Source organism: Homo sapiens, chromosome 2 (assembly GCF_000001405.40).
Source record: "Homo sapiens chromosome 2, GRCh38.p14 Primary Assembly".
NCBI classification, from domain to species: domain Eukaryota; kingdom Metazoa; phylum Chordata; class Mammalia; order Primates; family Hominidae; genus Homo; species Homo sapiens.
The window spans coordinates 195,852,761-195,878,959 of NC_000002.12; the positions used below are offsets into that span (position 1 = coordinate 195,852,761).

The 26,199-nt window shown below is 36.2% G+C and overlaps 1 protein-coding gene across 12 annotated transcripts in view, besides 1 other annotated feature; it reads right to left on the minus strand.

The window, feature by feature from the left end:
* Positions 1–26,199, minus strand: part of DNAH7 (dynein axonemal heavy chain 7) — a 331,135-nt gene that overhangs the window by 115,058 nt on the left and 189,878 nt on the right. For 11 of the 12 annotated variants that reach the window (XR_922968.4, XM_011511488.4, XM_017004504.3 and 8 more), the window contains 10 exons: positions 23,784–23,939; positions 22,915–23,083; positions 20,808–20,934; positions 19,490–19,709; positions 11,389–12,261; positions 8,957–9,186; positions 5,714–6,044; positions 4,617–4,963; positions 3,051–3,231; positions 583–768 (listed from right to left, as the gene is read on the minus strand). Coding sequence is in view for 11 of the 12 variants with exons in the window: in XM_011511488.4 (XP_011509790.1) it covers positions 583–768; positions 3,051–3,231; positions 4,617–4,963; positions 5,714–6,044; positions 8,957–9,186; positions 11,389–12,261; positions 19,490–19,709; positions 20,808–20,934; positions 22,915–23,083; positions 23,784–23,939 (2,820 nt within the window). In the remaining variant the exon portion in view is untranslated. Of the gene's footprint in view, positions 1–582; positions 769–3,050; positions 3,232–4,616; positions 4,964–5,713; positions 6,045–8,956; positions 9,187–11,388; positions 12,262–19,489; positions 19,710–20,807; positions 20,935–22,914; positions 23,084–23,783; positions 23,940–26,199 lie in introns of those variants that run through there. The other variant, XM_011511495.4, reaches the window with a different exon arrangement.
* Positions 5,461–6,660: an enhancer, noted in NCBI's record as "BRD4-independent group 4 enhancer chr2:196722945-196724144 (GRCh37/hg19 assembly coordinates)". NCBI's record gives its function as "activates an origin of replication core promoter dependent on BRD2, P300/CBP, MED14 and CDK7 cofactors, and independent of BRD4, by STARR-seq in HCT116 cells {active_cell/tissue: HCT116}" and the evidence as "EXISTENCE:reporter gene assay evidence [ECO:0000049][PMID:35650434]".

A 26,199-nucleotide genomic window follows, 5' to 3' on the forward strand; every position in this document is an offset into this window, starting at 1 on the left:
TTTCTAAGGAACAAAGCCACTTATCAACAGGGTTTTAGGCAGGCTCACCTTTTCCTCCCTTCAAGTTTCATTCCCTGAAATGATTTTGAAATGGCTTGTTATTGAGACTGATAGGAAACAGCTGATGAAGTACACACACACACACACACACACACAGAGAGAGAGAGAGAGAGAGAGAGAGAGAGAGACAGAGTTCTGATACCTTTTTACAGTACTTGCTTAGGAACTGAGATGTTATCAGTAGAGGCTACCATTTTCCCATTACTTTTTAAAAAAAATTTTATTTTTAATCAGGCAGCCCCAAACTAGAATAGGTTCAGAGACTCCCCATTTTCACATTACATTTTAAAGTAGATATTTTTGTTTTTAAAACAATTAGATTTTTGAAGAGTATATTATATGCATCTTTTGGCTAACCAGCTAATTTACAGAATAATTAAAATACACAAGCAGAAATCATGCAAAAATACCTTCCTCCTTGTACTTAACAAAAAACTGAAACCAAAGTAAAACAAAACCTTGAAGGGTTATATTGGCTGTGATGGGCAGAGGGTCAGGAAGAGATGGAATAGTGTCCCTTACCTGTCTATAGGTGGATGTGAAGGCTCCGAGGTAAGCAACCACTCCGGAGGAAATGAGGATATCCCCAGTCAAGTTGATGTACAGCTGACCTAGCTCCAGAGCTGTGTGGCTCCATCGAGTTTTCTCACCTCCAAGGCCTCCAATCAACTGTTCAGCTCGTTCTAGTTTTTTGCTGCAAAGGTCAACCTCGAAAATAAAAGTGAGCTTTTATCAACATTTACAAGTATAAGAAGTTTAAAATTCTGCAAGATTTTACCCTCAGAAGTGAATTATTATTTTTAATGACAGACTTCTGCCTGGGATTTCCTATATCACTATGATATAGGAAAGTCCATGATATTTTAGAATTTGTAAATATAAAGTGTCTAATATAATTCATGAAATTAATAATGAATGAATATTTACCATATAATACAAAGAACAGCTGTATTTAGGAAATGACATACAGTACAAGACACTGAAAGTTAATTAATAAAGGACATTCTTCTGCAAATATAGATATTTTCCCTCCATTTTAAATAATCTAGATGCATTTTGTTTTAAATATTCTACAAACATTTTCCCCTCATTTAACTTATATCATGGCCTTAAAGGTTAAGTGTTTAAAGGTTTTAATAATTTATGATTATTTACAAAGCACAATTTTCAGGTTGTTAAATTGTGTCAAACTACTCAGGCACTTGCAATTCAGCTTAAATTAGGACACCAATCAATAGCTGAGAGCCTATTTGGTGCATAAGACTGTCAACCAAATGTGATTATATGTAATTAAGCAATATGATAACAAAAGAGAGATAATTACAAAGGTGGCAAACTTGGTGAAAAGTTATTTCAGTTCACACAATAGCAATATTCCAGCAGAATATGTGAATTATTTTGATTAAATTTTTAAGTACCTTAACATCATTATTCTTGGAAGAAGATGAGATTAAATAAAGCTTATCTTGATGTTCAAAAATAATTACATGAAAAGATAAATTCAACAATCAACAAAAACGAAGACATTTAGGTTATTTTGGAATAGGAATTTGGCTTGTGCTTTTTACTAATGTTATTAGCATGTATATCAAGTCAATGATTTTAGATTAAAAGATGTATAATTCTGTATCAATTTATCTAAAGATAGATTTGAAAAAAGCAAATGGTATGTAATTGCAGTATTTGTGATACTTCCTAAATTTAATTTTTTTCCCTTTTAATGTTCCCTCTTTAAATATCTTTTGTCTTTCTAGTTTCTTTCCTCACCTATTCTTCTTTCAACAATGTTTATGATAAACTGAATCAGGTCTTGGACTATGGCAAAGTTGCCATCAGAAACTACTAAGTAAAAATATTTTGGCTAAAATTTTACCTCCAAAAGCACATTTGTAATACACATATATGCATATGTTCATTTTATATTACCATAATTTTCTAATATTTTATCATAAAAAATAAAATTTTCAAACATATAGGAGAGTTGAAAAATGTTTAAAGAGAGCAACTGCATAACCATTTGTTGGTTATATTATTTAAACTAAAACTGATCATTCAAAAATCATGCCATAATATGTTACACTTCTAAAGATTAGCACAATGTCTTACATTTGTGCAAATACAGAATACAGGATAGTTACTATAGAAAGAGGCAGTCTGGTGTCCTGGAAAGAGTACAGCTATTGGAATCAGGCTGCCTGGGTTCAGGTCTCAGACTTGATGCTCAGAAACTGGGTTGACGATGGACAAGTTGCTTGATCTTTCTGTTCTTTAGTTTCTTCAAAATGGTACAAAATCATTACTTCCCTCAAAAGGTTATTGTGAGAATAAATAGTATAATATGTAATGTTCTTAGAACAACCGGCCTTTGTACATAATAAGCATTCAATAAATGTTGACTGTTATAAAATATTATGAATTTCTTCTGGCCCATAATCAGACTTTAGCAGTTAATTTTTCCAAATGGTATCACTAATTAAGTTAGAGTAGTATTTTTAGTCTTGAAAATATTTTTAGTAGATACTGTGTGGTTCTGAGTATTGAGTTCTAATTTCAGCTCTGCCATACAACCTACGTCACTTAACATTTTGGTTCTCAATTTCCTTACTTGCAAAGTGAAAAATGATTAAATAATCTAGCTCAATATTATATTCTAGTAATCTAAGGCAGACAGACTGACATTTTTTTTTTTTGGAAAGGCCCAGAGAATAAATATTTTAGTCTTTGTGAGCCAAGCAGCAAAACTGAGGATATTTACATATTTCATGGGTATTTATATGGCCATTAATATGTAATTATTTTAAAATGTCAAAACCATTATTAGCTCTTGGGCCACACGAAAACAGGCGATGGGCAGATGTGGCCTGCGGGTCATAGTTTGCCAATCCCTGACCAGGAAGGAAACAGGACTGGTGTGTTATGTGCTAGTACGAACATCATTCTTAGTTACGATAACTGAGAATTTGTCCATCTTTTTCTATATCAGCACACACCTGGTTTTCCAGGTCAGCCTTCTTTTGTTTATTTAATTCAAGTGTGTCTTGAAGCCTGGCCAGCTTGTCCTGAACTTCCTTAAGGGCTGCCTGCTTCTTTCTAAGACCATCCATGGCAATTTTAAGCTCCCCTTCAGCTGCAGCCAGTTTTATCTTTTTGGGAGCTACTATTTTTGCCACTCTGCAAAAAGTAAAATTGAAAAATTAAATATTCATTTAATATTCCAGTACACTTTCTATCACTGAATTTACTTTTCTAATACCCTTACTATAACTGAAAACACTTCTTTATGCAAAAATCTAAACCGATTTCCATATTTCCTGTTTCATCTAACAATCATCCAAACTTGATCCTGGACACAAGAAATGGCCTTTTATTAAAATAGACATCAAATATACAAAAAACATTTTGCCAGTATGAATTTTGATAACTTTCCAAAAGGAGAGTAGGATAGTCATGTAGAATATTACAATGTTATTAGAAGCCTAATTGGTTAAAGGTGAGTTTTCATGAGAAAGTGAGGTATCTTTTATCTTTGTCATTTTACTTAAAAAAATCCTAGAATACATCAACCAAAAACAGTTATCCTATAAATACGTATGTGGTAATAAAAGGAATTATATAGGAAAAAGGATGGATCTAAATTCTCTCCCTAGTATCTGGAAAATGGAGTCAGTCATGTTATCTAACAAACATTAAATTAATCATTAACTAATATCATGGTCTGAAACATATATAGCACTACTATATATATAGAATGATTAAAATTGGATATGAGTTTGAAAAACATCCTATGACAGTTGTTTTTTGAAAAAATAATAATTACCCTGTTTTGCGTATGATATAACTAGTTCTCATATAATCACCAAAAAAGGCTCCTTATTTCACAAGAATACATTATGCCAGTGGTTTTTAAAGTGTGGTCCAAGGACCCCTGGGGATCCTGACGACACTTGCCCCTTTGGGGAGCTCACGAGGTCTTCCCTCGTCCAACTAAACCTCTGTGTGATGGTGGATTTTTTTTTAATATACTTTAATTAAAACAACATATTGCAACAGAATGAATGAAGAAGCAGATTTTGGTGTCTGGCTATCTCACATTAAACCACACATTAAAGAGATTTGTAAAAGTATAATAAAATACCACTCTTCTCATCAGTATTTTTTTCTATTTTTAAAAGAAAAACATGTAAATTTATAAAAAATAAAAATAAATCACTTGTATTAACATGTAACATTTTTATTGCTTTTTAAGATGAATTAATAAACATTTTTAAAATTTTTCCATTTTAATTTCTAATATGGTAAATAAACAAAATTTTATTGGGGTCTTCAATACTTTTTAAGAGTATAAACAGTTCCTGAGTCCAAAAAGTTTAAGAACCACTGTATTATACTATTAGTTGGCATAATCTTGCCTCCAGTAAATATGCAAACACAAAGCAAATTCAGACAGGATTTTCCAAGGAGCCTCTCACTTACATAACTTTTAAATTGTATATTTTCTAACTGACCAGAAGTGAAGACAGACCATACCAGCTGGATTTCTTTTTATCAGCACTTACTTATCATATGAATCCATTGCTATGACCCATTTGCACAGACCTTCGGCCGCTGTAGAAGCATTTCTGATTTTTTCTGGTACAAAATCTGGATTTGGAATATAATTTTTTCTTATGATATTCATATAAGCTGGAGGAATATTGTCCTTGTCATATTCATGAAGTGACTGCAGAAACCTCATGTCACCAAGAAGTCTCTTAGCTGGGCCCCAGAAATCCTCAATTTTTTTCCCTGAACCTGTTGGGTCAGGGATTTTGTCAGCTTTGATTCCTTTCAAGATGCATATAGCTTCCATAACAAGCTTGACACCAGCAGGAGGACTCTTCATGGATTTTACCACTGTAATATCCTTGAAATAACAACGTTAATTATTTTAAAAGACATGTTTGTTTATACAGTAATTGTAAGTGGTTCCTATTTTCAAACTAAGCATACAGAAACTCACTGTGTTCACTGGGTAGAAATGGTGACAGTAATAGAACTGCACTTACACTTTTCTCCTCAGTCCCACCCAAAAGTTTAGCCAAAATTCTCTGCACTATTTATTTTAAAAATCTATCTTCATCTTTCTAAATTAAAATATTCCCCTTTCACATCTTAACTTTTAATACACCTCATGAAATCTAAGACATTGCTATTGTAAAATAAATTATTATAAAACACATTATTATTTTATGTATCCCCCCAAAAAAAATCACTGGCAAAATTAATACTTTATCACATGCTCTATAAGATGTATTCCAATGACAAGTGTGTCTAAATATGAAAAAGGTACCCCTTAGAATCAAAATATAATCTCAAAGCTTATGTCTTTGTTGATTACTGCAGTGCAAAGATGTATGAAGTTCTTGAAATAACTGTTGCTTTATGGTAGGCTATAACATCTGGCCGCTTTCTTCCATTTCAAAGGTGTTTTTGCATGCACATGCATTTCTTTTTCAAGTCAATTAGGGAATTCTTTTGCCAATTTCAAAATGATTTCAGCTTCATTAAAATTTCAGGCTAATTCGGAGAGACAAACTAGACTAGAACACAATGCTAATTTCTTTCTTGGGCTATGATGACATGTGTCCTAGAAAGTGTATGGCGAAGCTCTTACCTGTGCAGTAAGAGTATCAAGGGCGGCCAGTGCTGACTCTAATATTGGCAAGGCACCTGCCAGGTCAGCATCGCACTCATCTTTGATGGCTTTGGAAGCCATAGCTTGTTCATTCGCTATTGTTTCATCAGCTTTCACTATTTTTTCAGTTTTGGCAACTTCTACAGACTCTTTCTCAATCATTATCATCATTTCATCAACCTCTTTGCTAGCAACTTTTAATTGAGGATGTAGTGCCTCCAACTCCATCTGCATTGTGGCTACTTGAGATGAAGCAGAATCCAGTTTCTCCAAACCCACTTCATATCTCTTTTTCATTTTCATTACTTCACTGGAAGGAAATAGATAAAACAAAGTTAATCATGAGGCTCTGTATCCTACATGAAGGAAAAACTTAAGTGTTTCTGAGCTTTCTAGGCTTTTTCAAGACATAACTACGGAGTGGTCTAAAAGATTTTCATATAAATGACAATCTGTCAAAACATGAAACCTAGAATGTCGGATTTGTGCACAATTAAGAGCAGACAGCGTGTTTTATTCATTTTTGTGTTTTCAGTACCTATATGTTATCAACGCATACAACAGAAATTCAAAAGAATAAATACACTGGCGATGAGGCAAGGAGTCTCCTGTATCAAAATGAATGATGTACCTCTAAAGTTGGTAAGTTGATCCCAGCAACACTACTGCTGCTTTAAACCTTTTTATGATCACTTATTTTAAACGCACTTCAGTGCTCAAAATATATTATTTTGAATGTTTCCAAATGTGAAAAAATGATTTTAACATGTATTATACATCTTGAAACAAGAGATTTGTTTTATTAAAGAAAAAGTAACAAATAGAGCAGATCATAAAGCTCAATACCCTGTTTGGTGCAAAATGATTATAAAGTAATAACAAATGATTAGAAATAATGTAATATTTTAGCATATTTTAAAAGTTTAATATTTTAATGTAGTCAAAAATTTAATCTGCATTTATCTGCAAATATATATATATGTCTCTATAGAGAAAACTCTTCTTTATAATTTCATTTTAAAATACTTGATATACCATAATGTCTCCAAGTAAAAAAATGACATGTTTTTAAAATCCCCTTCAAAAAACAGACTGGAGTAGTAAGGAACTGGCTTGAGCTGGAAAAGGTAACCTGGAGAACACTGAAAGGATTATAATTTTTGTTTTAAAAAAATTCATAAGTGAGAGCATGCTACATTTTTGTCACATGTCAAATTCCCTGAGTGTGCAAAATATTAGAAAGTAATGGGAACAGAGGGGACCGAATGTATGGCCTGTATTATCTGTGAGTTTGGTTTCAGCTGAAACCTTGTGCAACAAGCATAGGAAAGGTCTCATTCCTGCCAGCCTGAGACAGTTTCAATATGGTGGCTAATCCCAAGTGACGCTTTGCTAGCTTAACCATAGATTTCCTTCCAAGTAACCTGAAAACTTGCTTCTAGGTTACAGCACTACCTGGCTGTCGTGATCTGAAGGCTTTAGCTATTATGGGAAGAATAATCACAGGATAGGAATTCTAGTTGAGGTAAAGGATAATTTAATATCTTTTTTTTTCATTTGCAAGGAATTTTGAAAAGAAAAAATTTGAAAAAGGAAAATTTGAAGGGCAAATAAGAATATTTGAAAATACCTTAAAAACTATGACTTTCAACCTGTAAGTTTGAACTTATAACTTTGTAACTTTAAAACTTATAACCAATAAGTTTAAACTCTTCCTATAAGTTTGCCTCTCATTTTTATAATCCTTTTTTTTGTTAGGGTGGCCTTACTATTGTGAGTGCAGAGTCAAACAAAAGCCATGAGTGATATCCAAAATTTAATCAATCTCCAAGAGCTTTTGATCCTCCTGGATAAGAAAATATGAAAAAAAGCAAGTTTCCATTATGTTAAAGATCATAAGCTCGACACAGAAAGACAATTATCTTGAGAGCCAAAGAAATAATAAATTCCAGCCAAGCTATGCAGCAGTCACGGTGGGCACTGCCGATTTCACTAGGTAGTTGAAAAATTCCTAAAGGTATGATTCAAACACAGGGTTGTAGACCACAGTGACTATGACAGTCCTGTTGGGAGGGCACAGCAATAGTTACTATGAATACAGATGAGGAGTGTCATATCCATATCCAGGTAGCATGCTGCCCAATATGAGAAAAGGTCCTTCAAAATGCTTGAGATAGTGGGTTAGCCATAGGAAGATTTAGAATTAACCATAGAAATATATATAAAAATCAAACTCATAGTATTAATATTTTTATATTATCTGTGCACATTTGTTGTTTTATGTATTCTTTTTAATCTTTAAAAGAATTTGGTCTGTTCAATTCGTGGATCAGGCTTGAGCTTTCAATATAAATCATGTGTCTGAGCAGTAAATTTACATTTGTGCTTTTAAGTAAAAATCATATTAATTTATAGATAATATTCAAACATTTAAAAGTACTTAAGGCTTACCATATGTATACGTTTAAAATACTAGACTTATAAATTATTTAAGTATCTAGTAATGTTTGATTTGTTAAATCAGAACTTAAAAGGGAAATATAAATAATGTATTAAAAATTTTATTTAAACAAGCTTTTGAATGGAGCCACACATTAATCCAAGGTCCCCTTTAAAGGTAACCACTAAAATGTTCCAAACTTCCTACTTTCTACCTTAATGTTATAATGTTTTTAAATTTTGTAATATACATACTGAATTTTAATTTTTGGAACCAAAGAAATATTTGAATAAACTTCTGTGCACACACAAGTCACCCTCCAGAACATTAAAAAAACTCACATTGACACTTTCTATAGCAGGTAAGTTTACTCATGTTTATATTGATGTTTTCAAATGACAGTTTATTAGAGAGTGGCTGTCCCTCCCTAGAGTCTCAGCTGTTCAGTATTCAAAGAGAGGGTTTAACTATTACCCAATTATTTATCAGAGAAAAATCACTCTCTACTAGTGTTTACTCAATATTCACAGCTCTGGTTGGAATATCTTCATTCTTCCAAGAGTTATTATGCATCTATGATGTGCTAGGCAATGTGCCCATATGAGAAGGATAAGACCCCTCCCTAAATTCAAAATGTCTGTGGATTAAATAATTTAAAGATGTAACAAAACTTACAGTATATTTCTACGAAATAAATCTCCATTATATATTATGTCGTTTTTGCACACACAAGTATTTTTAATTGCCATAGCTTACTTAGAAATATGAAATTTGATTTTTACCTTCTTTTCTTTTCTAACAACAGTTTGAAGGTGGAGATTAATTCGAGGTAAGAGGTAGGAGTCACATAATTGTATCTTTGAAGTTCAACAAAGAAAGATTTGGATAAATCTATAGTAGAAGTGTGGAAGCTTTTACACATGTCGATACAGCCATCTCGTATTTCCTCTGACATTTCAATTTCTTCCAAGAATCGTGAGGCAACTGCCTGGAGTGCATCTTCAGGCCATGACTAAATGTAAGATAAATGCTTTAGCATTTTATTAAGATTACGAATCTGGATCTGCTACTACTGCAGCCCTTTACAACTTATGGATGTTGGGGGTGAAGGGGAATAGTGTGAGGGATGGTGTGGGAGAGACAATTTCATAAGAAACTTTCCCGAGGACTTGCATACTTAGGGGAGGGAGCCAGGAGCTAGTTAGTGCATATAACATTCACTGTGTGTGGTTTGTTCTGAGATTAGAGAAATTGTTCATGAGTGTTGCAGGAGAAAGGAAAGGCAAATGAACTAAATTTATGGAATGTCTATTTCTGTATGCATTTTACTGGTATTATCTCATTTAATTCTCCTAACATTTCCCTGAGAATGATGTAGGCATTATTCCTGAAATAGCTTCCAAATCCTCTCTTCTTTCTTTGTCTACCTCAATCATCCCAATTCAAGCCTCCACTATCATCTGCCTGGAAGATTCCAGTAGCATCCAAACTGCTTGCATTCTCTACATAGCTGCAAGAGTGAGCTTTTCAAAATATAAATCAGCTCATGTCACACTCCCCAATTTATAACCAAAGACTTCCTAGAATTCTTAAAATCCGAACCAACTTGCCAATCTCTAACTGATTTGACCCTTCCCACATTTCTGAACTGTTATACCACTTCCCCCCACAGTTCCTGTGCTCCTGTCACCCTGATTTTCTGTCACCCTCTCCTTCCTTCTGTCTAGACACTTGACTTCACTAGTTTATCCTCTCTGCTCAGATCTCAATACTGACACTTTTTTGTCTTTCCAGTTTCCTCTTCAAACCCTTAATTGGTCCCTTATTTAAAAAGTATTTACCTGTAATCCCAGCACTTTGGGAGGCCGAGGCGGGCAGATCACCTGAGGTCAGGAGTTCAAGACCAGCCTGGCCAACATGGTGAAATCCCGTCTCTACTAAAAATACAAAAATTAGCCAGGAATGGTGGTGGGTGCCTGTAATCCCAGCTACTTGGGAGGTTGAGGCAGAAGAATTGCTTGAACCTGGGAGGCAGAGGTTGCAGTGAGCCAAGATTGTACCACTGCACTCCAGCCAGGGTGACAAGAGTGAGACTGCATCTCAAAACAACAAACACAACAACAAAGCATTTACTCCCTATTTGCTACCCTGTCTGATGAAATTGTGTTTTGCTTATTTGTCTGTAGACAAGAAGCTCAAGGAGAGCAGAGGTCTTGTCTATTTCATGTGCTTCATCTCCAGCTTTTAGATTAAGACTTGCTACAAAGCAAAACAGAATTCAATAAATGTTTTGCATGAAATAATTAATTTTACCAGGAAGTAGAGATACAGAGAGGTTCTGTAAACTTTCCAAGGTCATAAATGCTTATCTGTCAAAACCCACTCACGGGATCTCAGTCACAGCCCACAGATTTTTTACCACACAGGTAGAGAATGCATTGTGATATGCTGTTAAAGCCAGAAGGGAGAATTAAATTACTATTCACATCTAGCTAGTTACTCTTCCTTTGCTACTCCCCTTCCCCACCCCTCGTTCCTACCCCCCATCCATTCGCTGCCTTTTTCTGCTCTGCTCTGTACTTCCCAGTACTGAAGTCCACAGAAAAAAAGGTCACTCTGGCTTTCTCGCTCTTAACTCCTTTGGGTTTAGCTAATGGGAAGAGATTGGGGGCAGGGTGGAAGAAGTGAGACACAGGGGTATTTTGATCCTCCCTTCCTTTCCAGCCGTAGCTGAGTTCTACGTTTCTGGTTCCTATTCCTGTTGGGCAGTCTTATATCCACAGCTCTAAGCTCTGACTTTCATACACGGTTATAGTAACACTTCCTGCTATTGCTCCACCTACCACTTCCTGAGTGTTCCAACATCCCCTCTTGGTTCCCTTAACCCTGCCTACCCCTCTGTGAACAGTTCCTTCATTATGCTTTCTTCGGTGAAGGGTTCAAGGTTGCTCTGTGCTTCCTGTCAGGACTCTGATACACAATTTTATCATAACACTTCCTATAATATATTGAAGTTAGTGATCACATATATTCTTAATAAATACTTTTCTATTATAATTTCTTGAATTATAATTTCATAAGATATAACTGATCAGAAGATTCTGCTAAACAATATTTTGGGGTAAACTACAGGTTGGGAATCTATAAAATAAGTCATGATGATAGTGGAAATTCAACATTTCTAGAAGTCTATCTAAAATGTACATGACAATACCTGAAACCAGTCAATGGTACAGCAGTTAACAAGAGCAGGGAACTTTCTAAGACGATTCCGAAATGCATCTCCAATGGGACTCATGGCAAGGACCACATGCAGTTGGCTGCGGCAATGATCAATAAACATGTTGAAAAGGGCTATGGGGCTGCCATCTGTTTGCTTGGTTTTATCCCGCTGGCGATCTAACTGACGCATCTTATCACATATCTCTTGCTTCTCATCTAATGCAAAGAGATTTGGAATCTCCCCAGCATTTAGCAGATTACTGACATCTTCCAGAAAAGACTCTTCTTTAATTTGAGTATCTGTAAACAGGAAGACACCCTGCATCTCACCTTCCGCACATTTCCTTAAGATCACTTTTAAATCTTCATGCCATTCAGTAGTATCATACCCCTTAGAGATTTCAACTTGGAAAACTGAATAATCAGCCATGTGGGCAGCTAATCTGGTGACAGACTGCCTTCCACTCCCTCCAACCCCTACTAGGAGAGCATGGCTGCGAGGCTGCTTCAGGATCCTGGAAATTCTGCTGATGTGCTCTATGGCAAATCGAAACAAGACAAGGTTCATGGGTTTTTTGCTTATATTGTTGTATTCTTCTAGGTGAATTTCTACTATCATTCGAAGATTATCCACATCTGCGATTTCTCTGTAGTTGGTATCCTCCCTCTTGGGATCATGGAAATCACAAAACATTAAGCTGCGTAAGTCATCTGCTTCCACCATGCCATCATTATCAAAATCCAAACGCTGAAAAAGCTCATGAAAATCTTCATACATGTAGTTTCTCAAAATTTCTTGAATGTAGTTGATGAGCCAGCTTCTGTCTGTATTGTCCAGAAGGCGGTCATAATACACTCGAAGGACCTGTATAATAATTAAAAAGCAGCTTTAGAAACTTTCTTCTGATTTTTAAGAAAGTGTTATTATATCTGTGCTAATCTCAGGTAATAAAAATATTAGAAAATTTCTGCAGGTTTTATTAAAAGTATATCCAAATAATCAGGACTGATTCACAATAATGTTATTTTAAATGTTAATTTTAACTCTATATTTAGAATAATAAGGTTATAGTCAGTTATCAATCAATGAAAGGTAATTTTGGGGGTGGGAGCTGAAGCAGATGTAGAGATGCTAAGAGAATTAAGGCCTTGAGAAGTTAGTGACTGCCTTTGCTGGCTGCTCAGATGTGGATAGCAGAGCTGGGCACCAGTACCCAGGGGGTACCCAACACCTTTCCAGTGATGTTTCCTTTTTCTAAGATAGATAACATTTTGAAAGTTATTGACAAATCAATAGTTTTTGCTTTTGTTTTTGTTTTTCAAAAAGCACATTTTCTAGAACAGGAAATGTCTTGGGTAGAGGGAGAGTTGTTTGGGATACCTGTTAATTATTTTTGTTTTAAGTCGTTACAGAGAGCAATCTACTAAAATAAATCTCCGGTTATATGCACATGTTATGGGACTGCAAGAAACATCAGGCTTGCTACATGTAGCAACTGTTTTCTTAAAGAAGTGTGTCCCAGGGGTACAGTCTATTTTGGACTGAATTGTGTCCCCCCAAAATTCTTATGTTGAAGCCATAACTCTCAATGTGACTGGATTTGGGGATAGGGCCTTTAAGGAAGCAATTAAGGTTAAATTAAGTCATAAGGGTAGGGCCCTAATCTTATAGGATAGTGTCCTTATAAGGAGAGGAAGAGGCATTAAAGCGCTCTCTCCCTCTCTCTCTCTGGTTCTTGTTTCTGTTGGGCAGCCCTTATATGCACAGAGGAAGGGCCATGTGAGGACACAGAGACAAGGTGGCTTTAGCAAGCCAGCGTGAGAAAATAAATTTCTGTTGTTTAAGCCACTTAGTCTGTATTATTTTGTTAATGGCCAACTAATACATATATGCTATAAATAATGCATATTTCGTCAGTGGAACGTTGGATCCTTACTCTGCTCTACCATTTTGAGTAAATCACTGAAAATGTCTGCATCAACTTCTTCACCTATAAAATAGAAGTAGTATTACCTACCTCGCAAATCTCATAGATTTGGGGAAAAAGTAACATGACAAAATATGTGAAAACACTGTAGAATTCAAATAGATAATTACTGCAAATTGCCCTAGCATTAAGGTTAATGGTGTTCAGGAATCGTGGTTTTAGTGTATTGTTATCAAATTGATGATTTCATAGTGTTATCCTTTTTTTTTTTCACTAATAGTGTCTGCATAAGCAAATGGTATTATTTAAACTTCCTTCTTATTCCAACCAGTTCAAAAGTTATTTCTCTGTGAGACAATCTAATTTCCCAATACATGCCAATGGCCAATCTTTGAATTGAGGTACTTAAGATCTCAGACAATATTCCTAAATTAAGTCAACTTCATGTATCAGGATCAATGCCTAAGCATGAAACAAGTATATTATTATCTAGCTGGCAGTTTAGCAAGAACCTATAGCAGCATTTCTCAAAGACAGTCAACACATCTGCATTAAAATCATCTGAGGTACTTATTCAAAATGCAAATTCCTGGGCCCCACAGTGGATCTGTTGACTTAAAAACACAGAGGATGATTCCTGGGAATATCTTTCCATTTCTTTTTGTTTTTTCTTTTTCCTTATTTAAGGTACAGATATGGTTTGGCTGTGTTCCCACCTAAATCTCATCTTGAATTCCCACGTGTTGTGGGAGGAACCTGGTGGGAGGCAATTGAATCATGGGGTGGGTCTTTCCCGTGCTGTTCTTATGATAGTGAATAAGTCTCACGAGACCTGATGGTTTTAAAAAGGGGAGTTTCCCTGCACAATCTCTCTTCTCCTGTCTGCCACCATGTGAGAGATGCCTTTCACCTTCCACCATGATTGTGAGGCATCACTAGACATGTGGAACTGTAAGTCCAATAAACCTCTTTCTTTTGTAAATTGCCCAGTCTCGGGTATGTCTTTATCAGCAGCATGAAAATGGACTAATACAGGTACAACAATCTTAAGTGTACAGCTCAAAGAATTTTGGCACACAGTTATACATCCATGTAACCACCACCAAGATCAAGATATAAAATTTCCAGCACCTTAGTAAGCTCCCTCATGCTCACTACTGTTGGTCCCTGCTTTCCTCCCTCCCCAACAAGGAACCATTATTCTATCACCACCTCTCACATTTTAAAAAGTTGACACTTAAAACTTTCTATTATAAATCTAAATTGTTGCAAAGGATATAATTTCTGGTATATTTATATTGTAATTTGTGCTTTGAATTTATTTACCTCAAAGTCTTGATTGCAGACTTTTAAAATTGAGATATAATTCATGGACCATAAAATTCATTCTTTAAAAGAATACAGAATCAGAATATTCACAAAGTTGTGCAACCATCACAACTATCTCCCTCCAGAACTTTATCATCACCCCAGAAAGAAACCTGGTACCCAATAGAAGCTACTTCTCATTACCACCAGCCCTGGCCAACACTAATCTATTTACTATCTCTATGGAACTAACTTGCTTATTCTGGATATATGATATAAATGAATCATATCATAGGTGACCTTTTGTGTATGGACTTTTTAACTTAGCACAATGTTTCTAGGTTCATCTATGTTGTAGGATATATGAGTATTTCTTTTTAGGACTGAATACAATTCCACAGTATGTATTTACAATATTTTGTTTGTCCACTCATCAGCTGATGGATATTTGGGTTGTTTCTACTTTTTGGCTATTATAAATAATTCTGCTAATAATATTCATGTACAAGTTTTTGCATGGACATGTATCAGTTCTTCTGGGTCCACAGTTAGGAGTGGAACTGCTAGGTCATATGGTAACCCTATGTTTTAACCTTTTGATGACCTACCAAACTGTTTTCTATATTACATTACTGCCAGCTATGTATGAGGGTTCCAATTCTTCCACATGCTCACCAACACTGTTCTATTATTCATCTTTTTTTTTTTTTTTTTTTTTTTTGAGACAGAGTCTCGCTCTGTCACCCAGGTTGGAGTGCAGTGGTGCGATCTCGGCTCACTGCAAGCTCCGCCTCCCGGGTTCATGCCATTCTCCTGCCTCAGCCTCTCTGAGTAGCTGGGACTACAGGTGCCCGCCACCACACCCGGCTAATTTTTTGTATTTTTAGTAGAGACAGGGTTTCACCATGGTCTCGATCTCCTGACCTCATGATCCGCCTGCCTCGGCCTCCCAAAGTGCTGGGATTACAGGTGTGAGCCACCACGCCTGGCCTATTATTCATCTTTTTTATTACAGCCATCCTATTGAGTGTGAAAGGTACTTAATGGCAGTTTTGATTTGTATTTCCCTAATGACTAATCATGTCCTTATTGGCCATTTGTATATCATCTTTGGAGCGATGTCTTTGAATCCTTTGCTCACTTTTAAATTGCATTATTAGTCTTTTATTGTTGAGTTATAACAGTTCTTTATGTATTGTGGATACTAGATACTTAACAGTTTATATGATTTGCAGGTATTTTATCCCATTCTATATATTGTCTTTTCATTTTTTGGATGGTGTTTTTTGAAGCATAAAATTTTTTAATTTTGATGAAACATATTCATCTATTTTGGGGGTCTTGTTTTTGCAGAATATCTGTATTTAACAAGCAAACCAGGTGATACGTGCATTAACTAATGTCTCAGAGCCATGGAGAAGCCAAAGGGAATGAGTTGTCAGTTTTATACCTTAGAAACCATTTAGTGAAATTATATAAGGTTATCTAGTATGATAATGATGTCTGGAAAGGAAAAAGACATGTAAAGTAGTCTCTAACATATATTAAACCCTGAAGAAATATTTTCTGAGTGAACAGAAATAAAGCACAAATTAGTGTTAAGTTCAATTGTTGCAGGACTTTTCCTTAGTTCAGCTAAAGGTGGGGTCCTTGTTACACAGCCATGAAAATTTTGCCTCACAGACTATTTGAATGGTGAGTAAAACAGGTTTTATTGAGTGAAAGTGAAGAAAAGGGGGAAACAGGGACTCTCCACAAGGCCAGCGTCCCTTCTAGAGTGCTTCCCACCCTGCAGATTGAATCCCAGGTTCCATCCAGGAAGAAGAGGGGCCAGGCTCCTCCCCACTGCAAACAGCATGAACTTCTGTGGTTCCACCCCAGTGCACTGGCTGGCTGGAGTTTCTCGGGGGATCCCTTCCCACCTACTGTCTCACAATTACCTCATATTTTTAAAGATGTTGAGAATAATGTACCAAACATCCTTCTTGGCACTGCAGTAAGAAAAAAAAAAGAGAGAGGAAAATCTCTGCTCTCATGGGGCTTGCCTGCTATCTGAGGGAGATGAACAACACATATAACGAATGAATTCTACAACATGTTGGACGTTGGAAAATATTATGAAAAGAAGTAAAATAGGACAGGATAAGAAAGACTGGAACTACTAGGATAGGGGAGGGGAGTCAGGCTGTGGTATTAAAAAGCTTCAACTAGAAAGAAGAATTTGATCAAAGGCAGGGAAGGAGCTATTCCAGAGCATCAATATCTGGGGGAAATATTGCAGGCAGAAGAGAATAGCCAGGAGACCTGTACTGCTGGTGAAAGGGGGATGAGGATGAGAGCAGGAGGCAGCCTGAGGGGAACAGGCTAAGAGGAACACATCCCAGATCCCATGGGCCACTGGACTTTTATCCGAAATTCCTCTGAATGAAGTAGGGTGCTAATACAAGGTTTTGAGCTGAGGACTAAATTCATTATGTTTTATATAGGTATGTATAAATATGAAGTAGTAAACCTCACTAAATGCCCAAAGAGCTCAACAACCATTATCAAAACTCAATAATCTGACATCTAAAGCAGCACAGAATCTAAAAAACTCTTAAAAGTAATTATGTCTAACACATATACAATAGCACAAACAACCTATTCCCATGATTGGAAGAAAGCACTGTTATGTATAATCTCAAGTGACAGAACATGTCATGTGTAGCAAGCCTGCCTGCCTTCCTCTCTTTATGCACTCATTCATTCACCAATATTTATTGAGTGTTTTCTGTGTGCCAGGCACTGGGAAAACCAGCGCATAAATATAACTGCTATTCTCATAAAGTTTCTATTATTGCAAAGACAATAAGTAAGCCCCAAATTTAGAAGGTGTCAGGTGATGTTCAATGTTATGAAGAACAAAGCAAGGTAAGCAGTAAAAAATCAAGGGGGGTAGGGATGGCCCAAAGCAAGCTTGCATGAAAAGGGGGTATTTCAGCAAAAATCTGAAGGAAGGAAGTGGGCAAGCCTGCAGATAACAGAGAAAGAGTGTTCTAGGCAGAAGGAATATCAAGGGCAAAGTTACTGAGGTGGAGGATGCCAAATGCTTCCTCGTGAGTTAGATTCACCCATGACAAAATGCTGCCTTCAGCAATGCAATCTGCTATGGTTTCAATGTTTATGTTCCCCCTAAATTTATATGTTGAAATCCTCACCCCCAAGGTGATAGTATTGCAGTGGAGACTCTGGGAGGTAATTAGGTCATGGGAGCAGAACCCTCATGAATGGAATTAGTGCCTTTATAAAAGAGGCCAGAGAGCCCATTGCCCCTTCCACCATTTGAGGACATGGTGAGAAGGCACCACCTATAACTAGAAAACAATCCCTCACCAGACATGAAATCTGCCAGTGCCTTGATCTTGAACTTTCCAGCCTCCAGAACTGTGAGAAATTAATTTCAGTTTGTTGACAAGCCACCCAGTTTAGGTACGTTTTATAACAGCCTGAATGGACTAAGGCATGCTCCTTGAATGAATTCAGCATCATCCTCCCTGTTCACTTCCCCCACACTCTCCAGCTCTCAGTACATTTCTATTACCCATGTGGCCCCCAAACACAAGCCTGCATCCGTATCCTGGGAAGTGGGTCCCATTCAGGCAATTAGGTAACCTGCTGTGGAGTGCTATAAGAATCTCTACATCATCCTTTCCAAAGAATCACTTTTGGAGACCTTGTTGTGGCCAAAACATGCAAGTGGAACGGATCTTCACGTGGACATATATTTGAATGTGTGATGATTTAGGAATTCAAACTGTATATCTAAAAAGTCCAGAGAAACTGGATTTTTAAAAGACCTTTTGAAATTTATATCTCTGTAGTACATGGTTGTAACACAGTAGCACATTCTCGTGTTCTATGTTTCTTAACTGCATATTAAAATTAAAATAAGGGTCTTGCTCTATCACCCAGGCTGAAGCGCAGTGGTGCCATCATAGCTCACTGCATCCTCAAACTCCTAACTTCAAGCAATTCTCCCGCCTCAGCCTCCTGAAGTGCTGGGATTACAGGCATGAGCCTCCTCTACCACTTCTTATAAGAAAATGCTCATCCACATACCTATTCCCAAGAGAGCTTAAATACATTTTTATATAGTTTCTATGCTCTCAAGAATTTGCTTTGCAATTCTTTTGGCATCTAGTAATACTATACAAATAAGTAATGTAAAAAAAAAAAACCACATTCACTTCTTATAAAAACATCTCCTTAAAAAGTGTTCCATTTCAAATTTATTTGAAGTCAAACTAACAAGGATTAAACTACTTAAGGGAAGGCGGATCACGAGGTCAGGAGATCGAGACCATCCCGGCTAAAACGGTGAAACCCCGTCTCTACTAAAAATACAAAAAATTAGCCGGGCGTAGTGGCGGGCGCCTGTAGTCCCAGCTACTTGGGAGGCTTAGGCAGGAGAATGGCGTGAACCCGGGAGGTGGAGCTTGCAGTGAGCCGAGATCCCGCCACTGCACTCCAGCCTGGGCGACAGAGCGAGACTCCGTCTCAAAAAAAAAAAAAAAAAAAAAAAAAAAAAAAAAAAAAAACTACTTAAGGGAAACTGGTTCAAAGTGACACCTACTTTGAAATATTCTATAAATCAACAGAAATTCCTAAATCTGCATATGGGAGATAAAGCATTTTAAACATCATAAAATATCTCAGTGTTAAATATTTTTAAAATTTTTCTGAACACTGGCCTTCAAAATGCCAAATAACTGAATATATTTCAGCAATATAAATTGAAGAATATTCTTTTTACCCAGTTGTTGGCATGGCAAATCTTTGTTTCTCACATAATCCCATTTCAATAACAGGAAAATTTACCTCATGAACCCAAAGACGTTTAATCACTTCTGTGGTTTCTGTTGTTTCTGGTCTTGACAAACAAACACCTTGAATGACACGGGAGAAATCACGGAGGTTGAACAAGTAGTGAGATTTAGCTGGAGTAGGCAAGAGATTCTTCATTGCTTCTTTATACAGAGTCATTGTGCCATTTACGATTTGTGTGGTCAAATCTAGAAATTCATCTGGAAATTTATAACTTAAAAATTTTTTAAATAAAAAGAAAGGAAAATGTTAGCAATTATAGAATTACGACACAAAAAGGATATTTAGCAGGACCAACATAAAATTTTAATTTTGATTAAATCAATTTCATTTATAAAATTACCATATCTTATTATAATAATAATACTAATAGATTTTTACTCCTTTTAAAGCTATTTTCCATGTACTATTTTATGTTATGTCCAAAAGACCCCTGTGAAATGAGCAGGGCCAGTTTAATGGACTTAAAATCACTTAAGTAAGTGAACAGAAGAGACAGCCAAGGAACCCAGATTATGTAATCCCAAATCCACTAGACAAGTATTTCCCGACCTCTTTCATTCCCTGGCATTCTCAACTGCATATAAATATAATCCATAAGGAACACTGGTGAAACAGGTATTTTCAGAGGAAAAAAAGGAAGAAAATTAAAATACGTAAAAAAAATAAGGAAAAGAGAAAAAAAGGAAAGTAAAACAGTGAGCCAAGACAAAGTGCATGATTAGAGTATAAAGAATGTAGAGAAATAATTTTCATTTAGAAAGATTGCCTATATTTAACTTCTGGTTTGTCTAGGAGCCAGGTGTTTACTCCATCATCACTGGATAAGGCAAGGAATGACAATTTCTTGAGAATGGGCATGGGCACACAGACAGACTTCCCCTGCCCAGGTCAGCTTGGCTCCCTGATATCTCTGCATCTTGTGGAGTAGCACAATCTCTGCAGCTAGGCAGCTCCAAGGCATTACTTCTCAGACTTGGACACGAATACCCCTGCAGAACTCAAGTTCTACTAGAGGGTATCAAAGTCACAGCATAAACCTGGTACATCTTTCCAGCAGTAATTGAACTCAGTGGTGAAAATTCAAAATAATAACTCAAACGTGAACATATTACATAGCAGAATGGTCAGACCTCTTTGTGTTATGCTCCCACACTGGGAGGTGGCAGGAACAGAGGCAAACGATGTTGTCTGTTAACTTTTCCTTATCTAGGAATGCTTTTGTTCTTTGAAATACGCTACTTAATATTGATATGTTTCTAAAATATTTTATACCTCCTAATTAAAAAAAAAACAAATTTTGATTACTTACCAGATTTCTAAATGCCAAGTTAAGATTCTAGAGAAGATTGTATACATGGATTTATCACTAAACTCATTGATTGTTATAATATTGAAATGTCGCATGTATCGAGGAGTTACTGGATTTCGACCACCACCTAAATATTAAAAAGTATAACTCTTAATAATGTTACTAGTATATACAAGAGTATTTTCTCAAATATTCTATAGTTTAAAGTAACTTGAAAGATGGACAAATTCACGGCACATGAAGTTAAGAGTAATCAATTGTTTGGATAACCCTGACATCAAAACTATTTTTCCCTCAAATTCAAGACGTTACTTTTCTAGGTGAATTATCTGAATGAGTTAAACTAATTAGACATAATCTTGAGTCAAAACTATATTACTAAGGGAAATCAGACCAGGCAGAAAAAGCCACAGGCCATGTTCTCCACAGTTTACAGCTTAAAGCAGTAAATGGTAAACATCCTCAATACAATATTAAAATGTAATATTATACAATATTAACGTAACTCTGGTGAATCTGACTGACCAAAGTTTAGGGTACTTCCCACAAGGCTCGAATTCAGCACAACCATGACATATAGCCAAATTCTTCCCCCACATCTTGAAGCGAATTTACCCAAGACGAGTCTATACAGTTCATATAGTGACTTCACTGGCTGCTTGCATCTTTAAAAATTGGGGGATTTTTCCACAAAATAATGAAAGATTCCTTTGAGCTTATACATTTCTTTTGGAAAATATAAAACAGTTTAAGGAGATGGTGAAAGGGTTGCAGAAGAAAAGATGGTAAGATCATCTACCCCAGCTCTGTCTCCAACCCTTCCAGAGAATGTTCAGAATTGTGATATTTTTAGAAAACAGAAATGGGGTCCGAAAGGAAAAGATACCTCATGGTTTCAGCATACTTTTCTTACCAATGCCTGAAGAGGCAGGGAAAAGTGGACATGTGAGTATAAATGCCTGGCTTGGGGTGGTGGGGGAGAGACAAAGTGGAACTGAAGTCTGAGACCCAGGAGCAATATGGTCTTTTATTTAAAAAAAAAAAAAACAGCCTGGGCATAATAATATGCCCCCAAGCCCTTGTCTCCACAAAATATGAAACAAAATTAGCCATGCATGGTGATGCATGCCTGTAGTCCTAGCTGCTCAGGAGGCTGAGGTGGGAGGATCACTTGAGCCCAGGAGTTTAAGGCTGCCGTGAGCTATGATCACACCACTGCACCCCACCTAAGCAACAGAGTGAGACCCTGTCTCAAAAACAAACAAACAGAAAGTGTTCAAAATGGCCCAGGGAATGTGCTGAGAGCAATTACTGACTCAGAACAAACTGCATTACAGGTCAGATAAAGGTCAGGGTTAGGGAGCAAATACCGGAGAGATTCCCTGAAGTGGTATATCAACACAAGCAACATTTTAAAAAATGGAATACTGGCTTGAAGAAAATAGTCAGGAAGAAAACAGTTAAAGATTTCTTGTTAGTAATCAAGCCATTTTAGACACCCCAGCATTAAAAAGCAAATTTCCTCTACACAGAGATTCCTTTGAGTATAAATTTATCTTGGAAAATTTAAAGGATCTTTTGGCCATTCCCTACTTAAATTCTTCTCAGCAGCCTGTTTAAATCCAGAGACTGACTTGAATGGGACTTGATTTGGGGTAGAATAAAGATGATTTCTGAAGCAGGGACCATTCTATACAATTGAAGCATTAAGGAATGACACAGAGGAAGATGAGATGCCCCAGGACGATGTGAGTTCTCAGAAGGCAGAAACAGGAAATTGGGAGCAAAAATTCCAGAAGGTGGGAGAAAAAAGGATTTGGAAGACTTCCAGAAGGTGGGAGAAAAAAGTTTCAGAAGGTGGGAGAAAAAAGTTCCAGAAGGTGGGAGAAAAAAAGTTTTGGAAGAGTTGGTGGGTGCATAGCCCATCCAAGGTCACCCACTTTATAGAGTTGGTCATATGATACACTCTGTTAGGTCACAATAGATACACATAGAAAACATATACACAAAACACTGCAACTCAAAAGAGGATTTTTTTCCAGTTATTTCTTTAGCTATTGCTAGGGAGATTTTTCCATCTTAGTAATCACAAACTCAAAAAATGTACCTGGAGGTCCCATAGCACACATGATCTGAATGTCCACTAGTTTAATCATGGAACAATCTTTTAGATCATACCAGTTCCAGTGGTCTAACCACTGTCTAAGTAACTCAATGGGAGGTTGAGCCCCATATACCTCCCGAGCAGGCATATTGACATCATCTACAAAGACAACCTGAGAATGAGAAGAGAAGAGGTACAGAAAATATTAACATCTCAACATACAGTCCTATTGTGTAAACAATATTGAGGCAAATACTTAGCTATCTATTTGCAGAGTACATATGAGGAAGTGATGGTTTCTTTTCTAAACAAGGATAATATCCTTAGCTTCCATGCTTTTAGGATTCATATTCCTTAAGAAATAGGGAGACATTCTCATTACTAATCTTCGTAGGTTAATAGCTTAGGACTTATTAATCCTCTCATACAATTTGTTTCTCAATATACTGCATATTTTTTCCTTGTACTACACTTCAATTCATGAAAATAGATGAGAAAAGTGTGATTAGGGTGAGAAGGGTGTTCTTTGCAGAGGAACACAGGTAAATCTATTGAGAGCTGTGTTGCTGAAGGTCTACAAAAGCAAGCAGCAAAGACTGCTGAATAAAAATGTTAGTGAAAAAATTAGGAAGGTAGATAATTTCTCAGATGAATATTCTACCTTCAACTCAAAGGGCAACTCCTTGTTTTAAACATCAAGCTGTCTAGTGCACATACAAATGTAACTACATTTTTAGGAGAACCTTTTAATCCAAATTTGTGACATTAAAAAACTATACAAAAAGATGTCTCTCCCCAGGATATTTGGTTTCCTTGTTCCAACTGCAGCAATGTATATGAATAGGCCCGGGTACTGTACAAAGAGTCATTACCATTCTCTTGCCCAAAGGAGGACCAAAAACTCCCTTTCTTCTCTTGTCCAATTTTGACATGACAATATTCTGAGTTTGAGCTGCTGTAGTTTGTGCTGAGAAGTTAATTAGCAGAGGTTTGTAGATTTCCTTATTTAGTTGATTTAAAAGAAAATTCTATATAACAAAATAATAAAATGAGCCATAGTTGGAATTATGTTTTGACATTTCAGAATAAACACTAAGCATCATTACTGATAGACTCGAATTTAACCTTAAGTGTTGTAACATTGTACAAATAGATGGAATCAGTAGGAATAACAGTTACCATGCCAATGGAGTGTCTCCATCTGTCCAGCCTCTTGCATGTGACTTCTCTGGTTTTCACAGCTACTGGGGAATACACATTCCTCCTTAACATGGAGTCACAGAGACTCAGAGGTTAGGAAACCTGCCTAAGTTCTCCGAGATGGGCAAGAATTCAGACTGCCATTTGTCTCTCTCTAGATGAATGTTCTTTTTCATATATCTTATTATCTTTCCACTTACATACAAAGCGATCTTTCTGTAAGTTAGAAAGCTTAAAAATATAACTGTATTTTCAAAATGGAATTCACTGGAAACCAGGTGGAATTACAATGGTTCTTAATCAAGATGTATGCCAGGGACAGGACATACCAGAATTCCCTGAGGAGCTCTTCAAAATAAAATTGCCTCTCCTCACTCTTTCTTCCCCTTCCCTCCCTCAAGAGTTCTGTATAGGGCACAATCCCTTGCCACTTAAGGACCAATTTATTAGAAAACATCCTATGTAAATCACATATTTTCTTAATGAACAGTAATATCTATCACATGCACATATGAATAAAGGAAGGGAAACGGTAAAGTTTTTTGACTGTTCTAAACTTTACTTGCATTAAATGCTTGCAGCATTCAGCTTTATAATTAAGATATTAAATTATTAACCCAAAATATCAAATGGTAAAATACCTCAAGCAAGTCCTCCTTTCATGATGTGATTATACACTAAACATTACCATAATTAAGCAAATGGAAATTCTGAAAGCATACTTTGGAATATTAATCTATTCATCAAGGCAATACATATTTTAAAAAGGACTTATGATGTTCTCATTAATGACTACATTTAGCACACATGCCAGGAGTACGAGGAGGCAGAACAAATATAGAAAATAAGGAAGACGTAGGGTAACAAGCTGGTCAGAGATTCTGGAGGAAGGCTTTTACTCCTCCCATCAGCCCAGCAGGAGCTACCTTTTTAAATTTAAAATTATTTTCCTTTCACAGAATGAGCACATTCTAAAATGGAAGTTCTTTAAAATCTTTGAAGACTTTGTGTTTGTACCTGTGATTGCCAGTTAGAATAGCAAAAACTGGGAATGGGGAAGTTTAGAATAAAAGTAGGAATATATTTTTGTGACTTTTATGATTAAAATTTCTTTTATGATTGTATAGTTATAATGTAAGTGATAGATTATTTCAAGAGGAATAATAGTTTGAAAACAAGTTATTCTATTTATTTAAAGAAACAACTCCCTATTCTGAGCAACAACTGTAATGAAGGAATGACATGTCTGAGTAAAGCAAATTTATACAAGTTTTTAAAAATTATTGCTTAAGACTCTAAAATATTATTTCACTTAGCTTGCCTACATGATGTACAATGTAAACACTGTATTATAATATATTTTTATTAGCTAACAGTGGAAGCCATATGGTAGGTAATCAATAAATTTTTGTTGGATTGATGCATGAACTAAATGAAACAGGAGTGAAATAAAGGGTGGGTGTGGTGGCTCCAGCCTGTAATCCCAGCACTTTGGGAGGCCAAGTCAGGAGGATTGCTTGAGCCCAGGAGTTGGAGATCAGCCTCGGCCACATAGCAAGATCCCACTTCTACATAAAAAATTAGAGGGTGTGGTGGTGCATGCCTGTAGTCCCAGCTACTTGGGAGGCTGAAGTGGGGGGATCACTTGAGCCCAGGAGGTCAAGGCTGCAGTGAGCTGTGATTGTGCCACTGCATTCCAGCCTAGGGGACAGAGCAAGACCCTGTCTCTCAAAAATAATAAAATAATGAAAATAAGAATGCAACACATACATAAGCCATGGTGTGAACAGTTTGGCAGTGAGCATTGAGGCCATCTAAAAACAGAACTAAATCTAACCATAATAAACATAAATAGTTCTAAAACCAAAATCCAAATGTAATTAATATAAAAAACTTCCAAAAGAGTTGCTGCATAATATTAAAAATTTGGCAAAAATAAACTGAGGTTTCAAAACATCTCTGTCTTACCAGAAGATGGTGAAAGGTATTGGTGATAAATAGCAGTATTTCACTCTTCCTCATTAACTGGGTAGGGGAAGGAGGTCAATGGATACTGTCATTCATAATATTGATAATTTAAAAACTGAA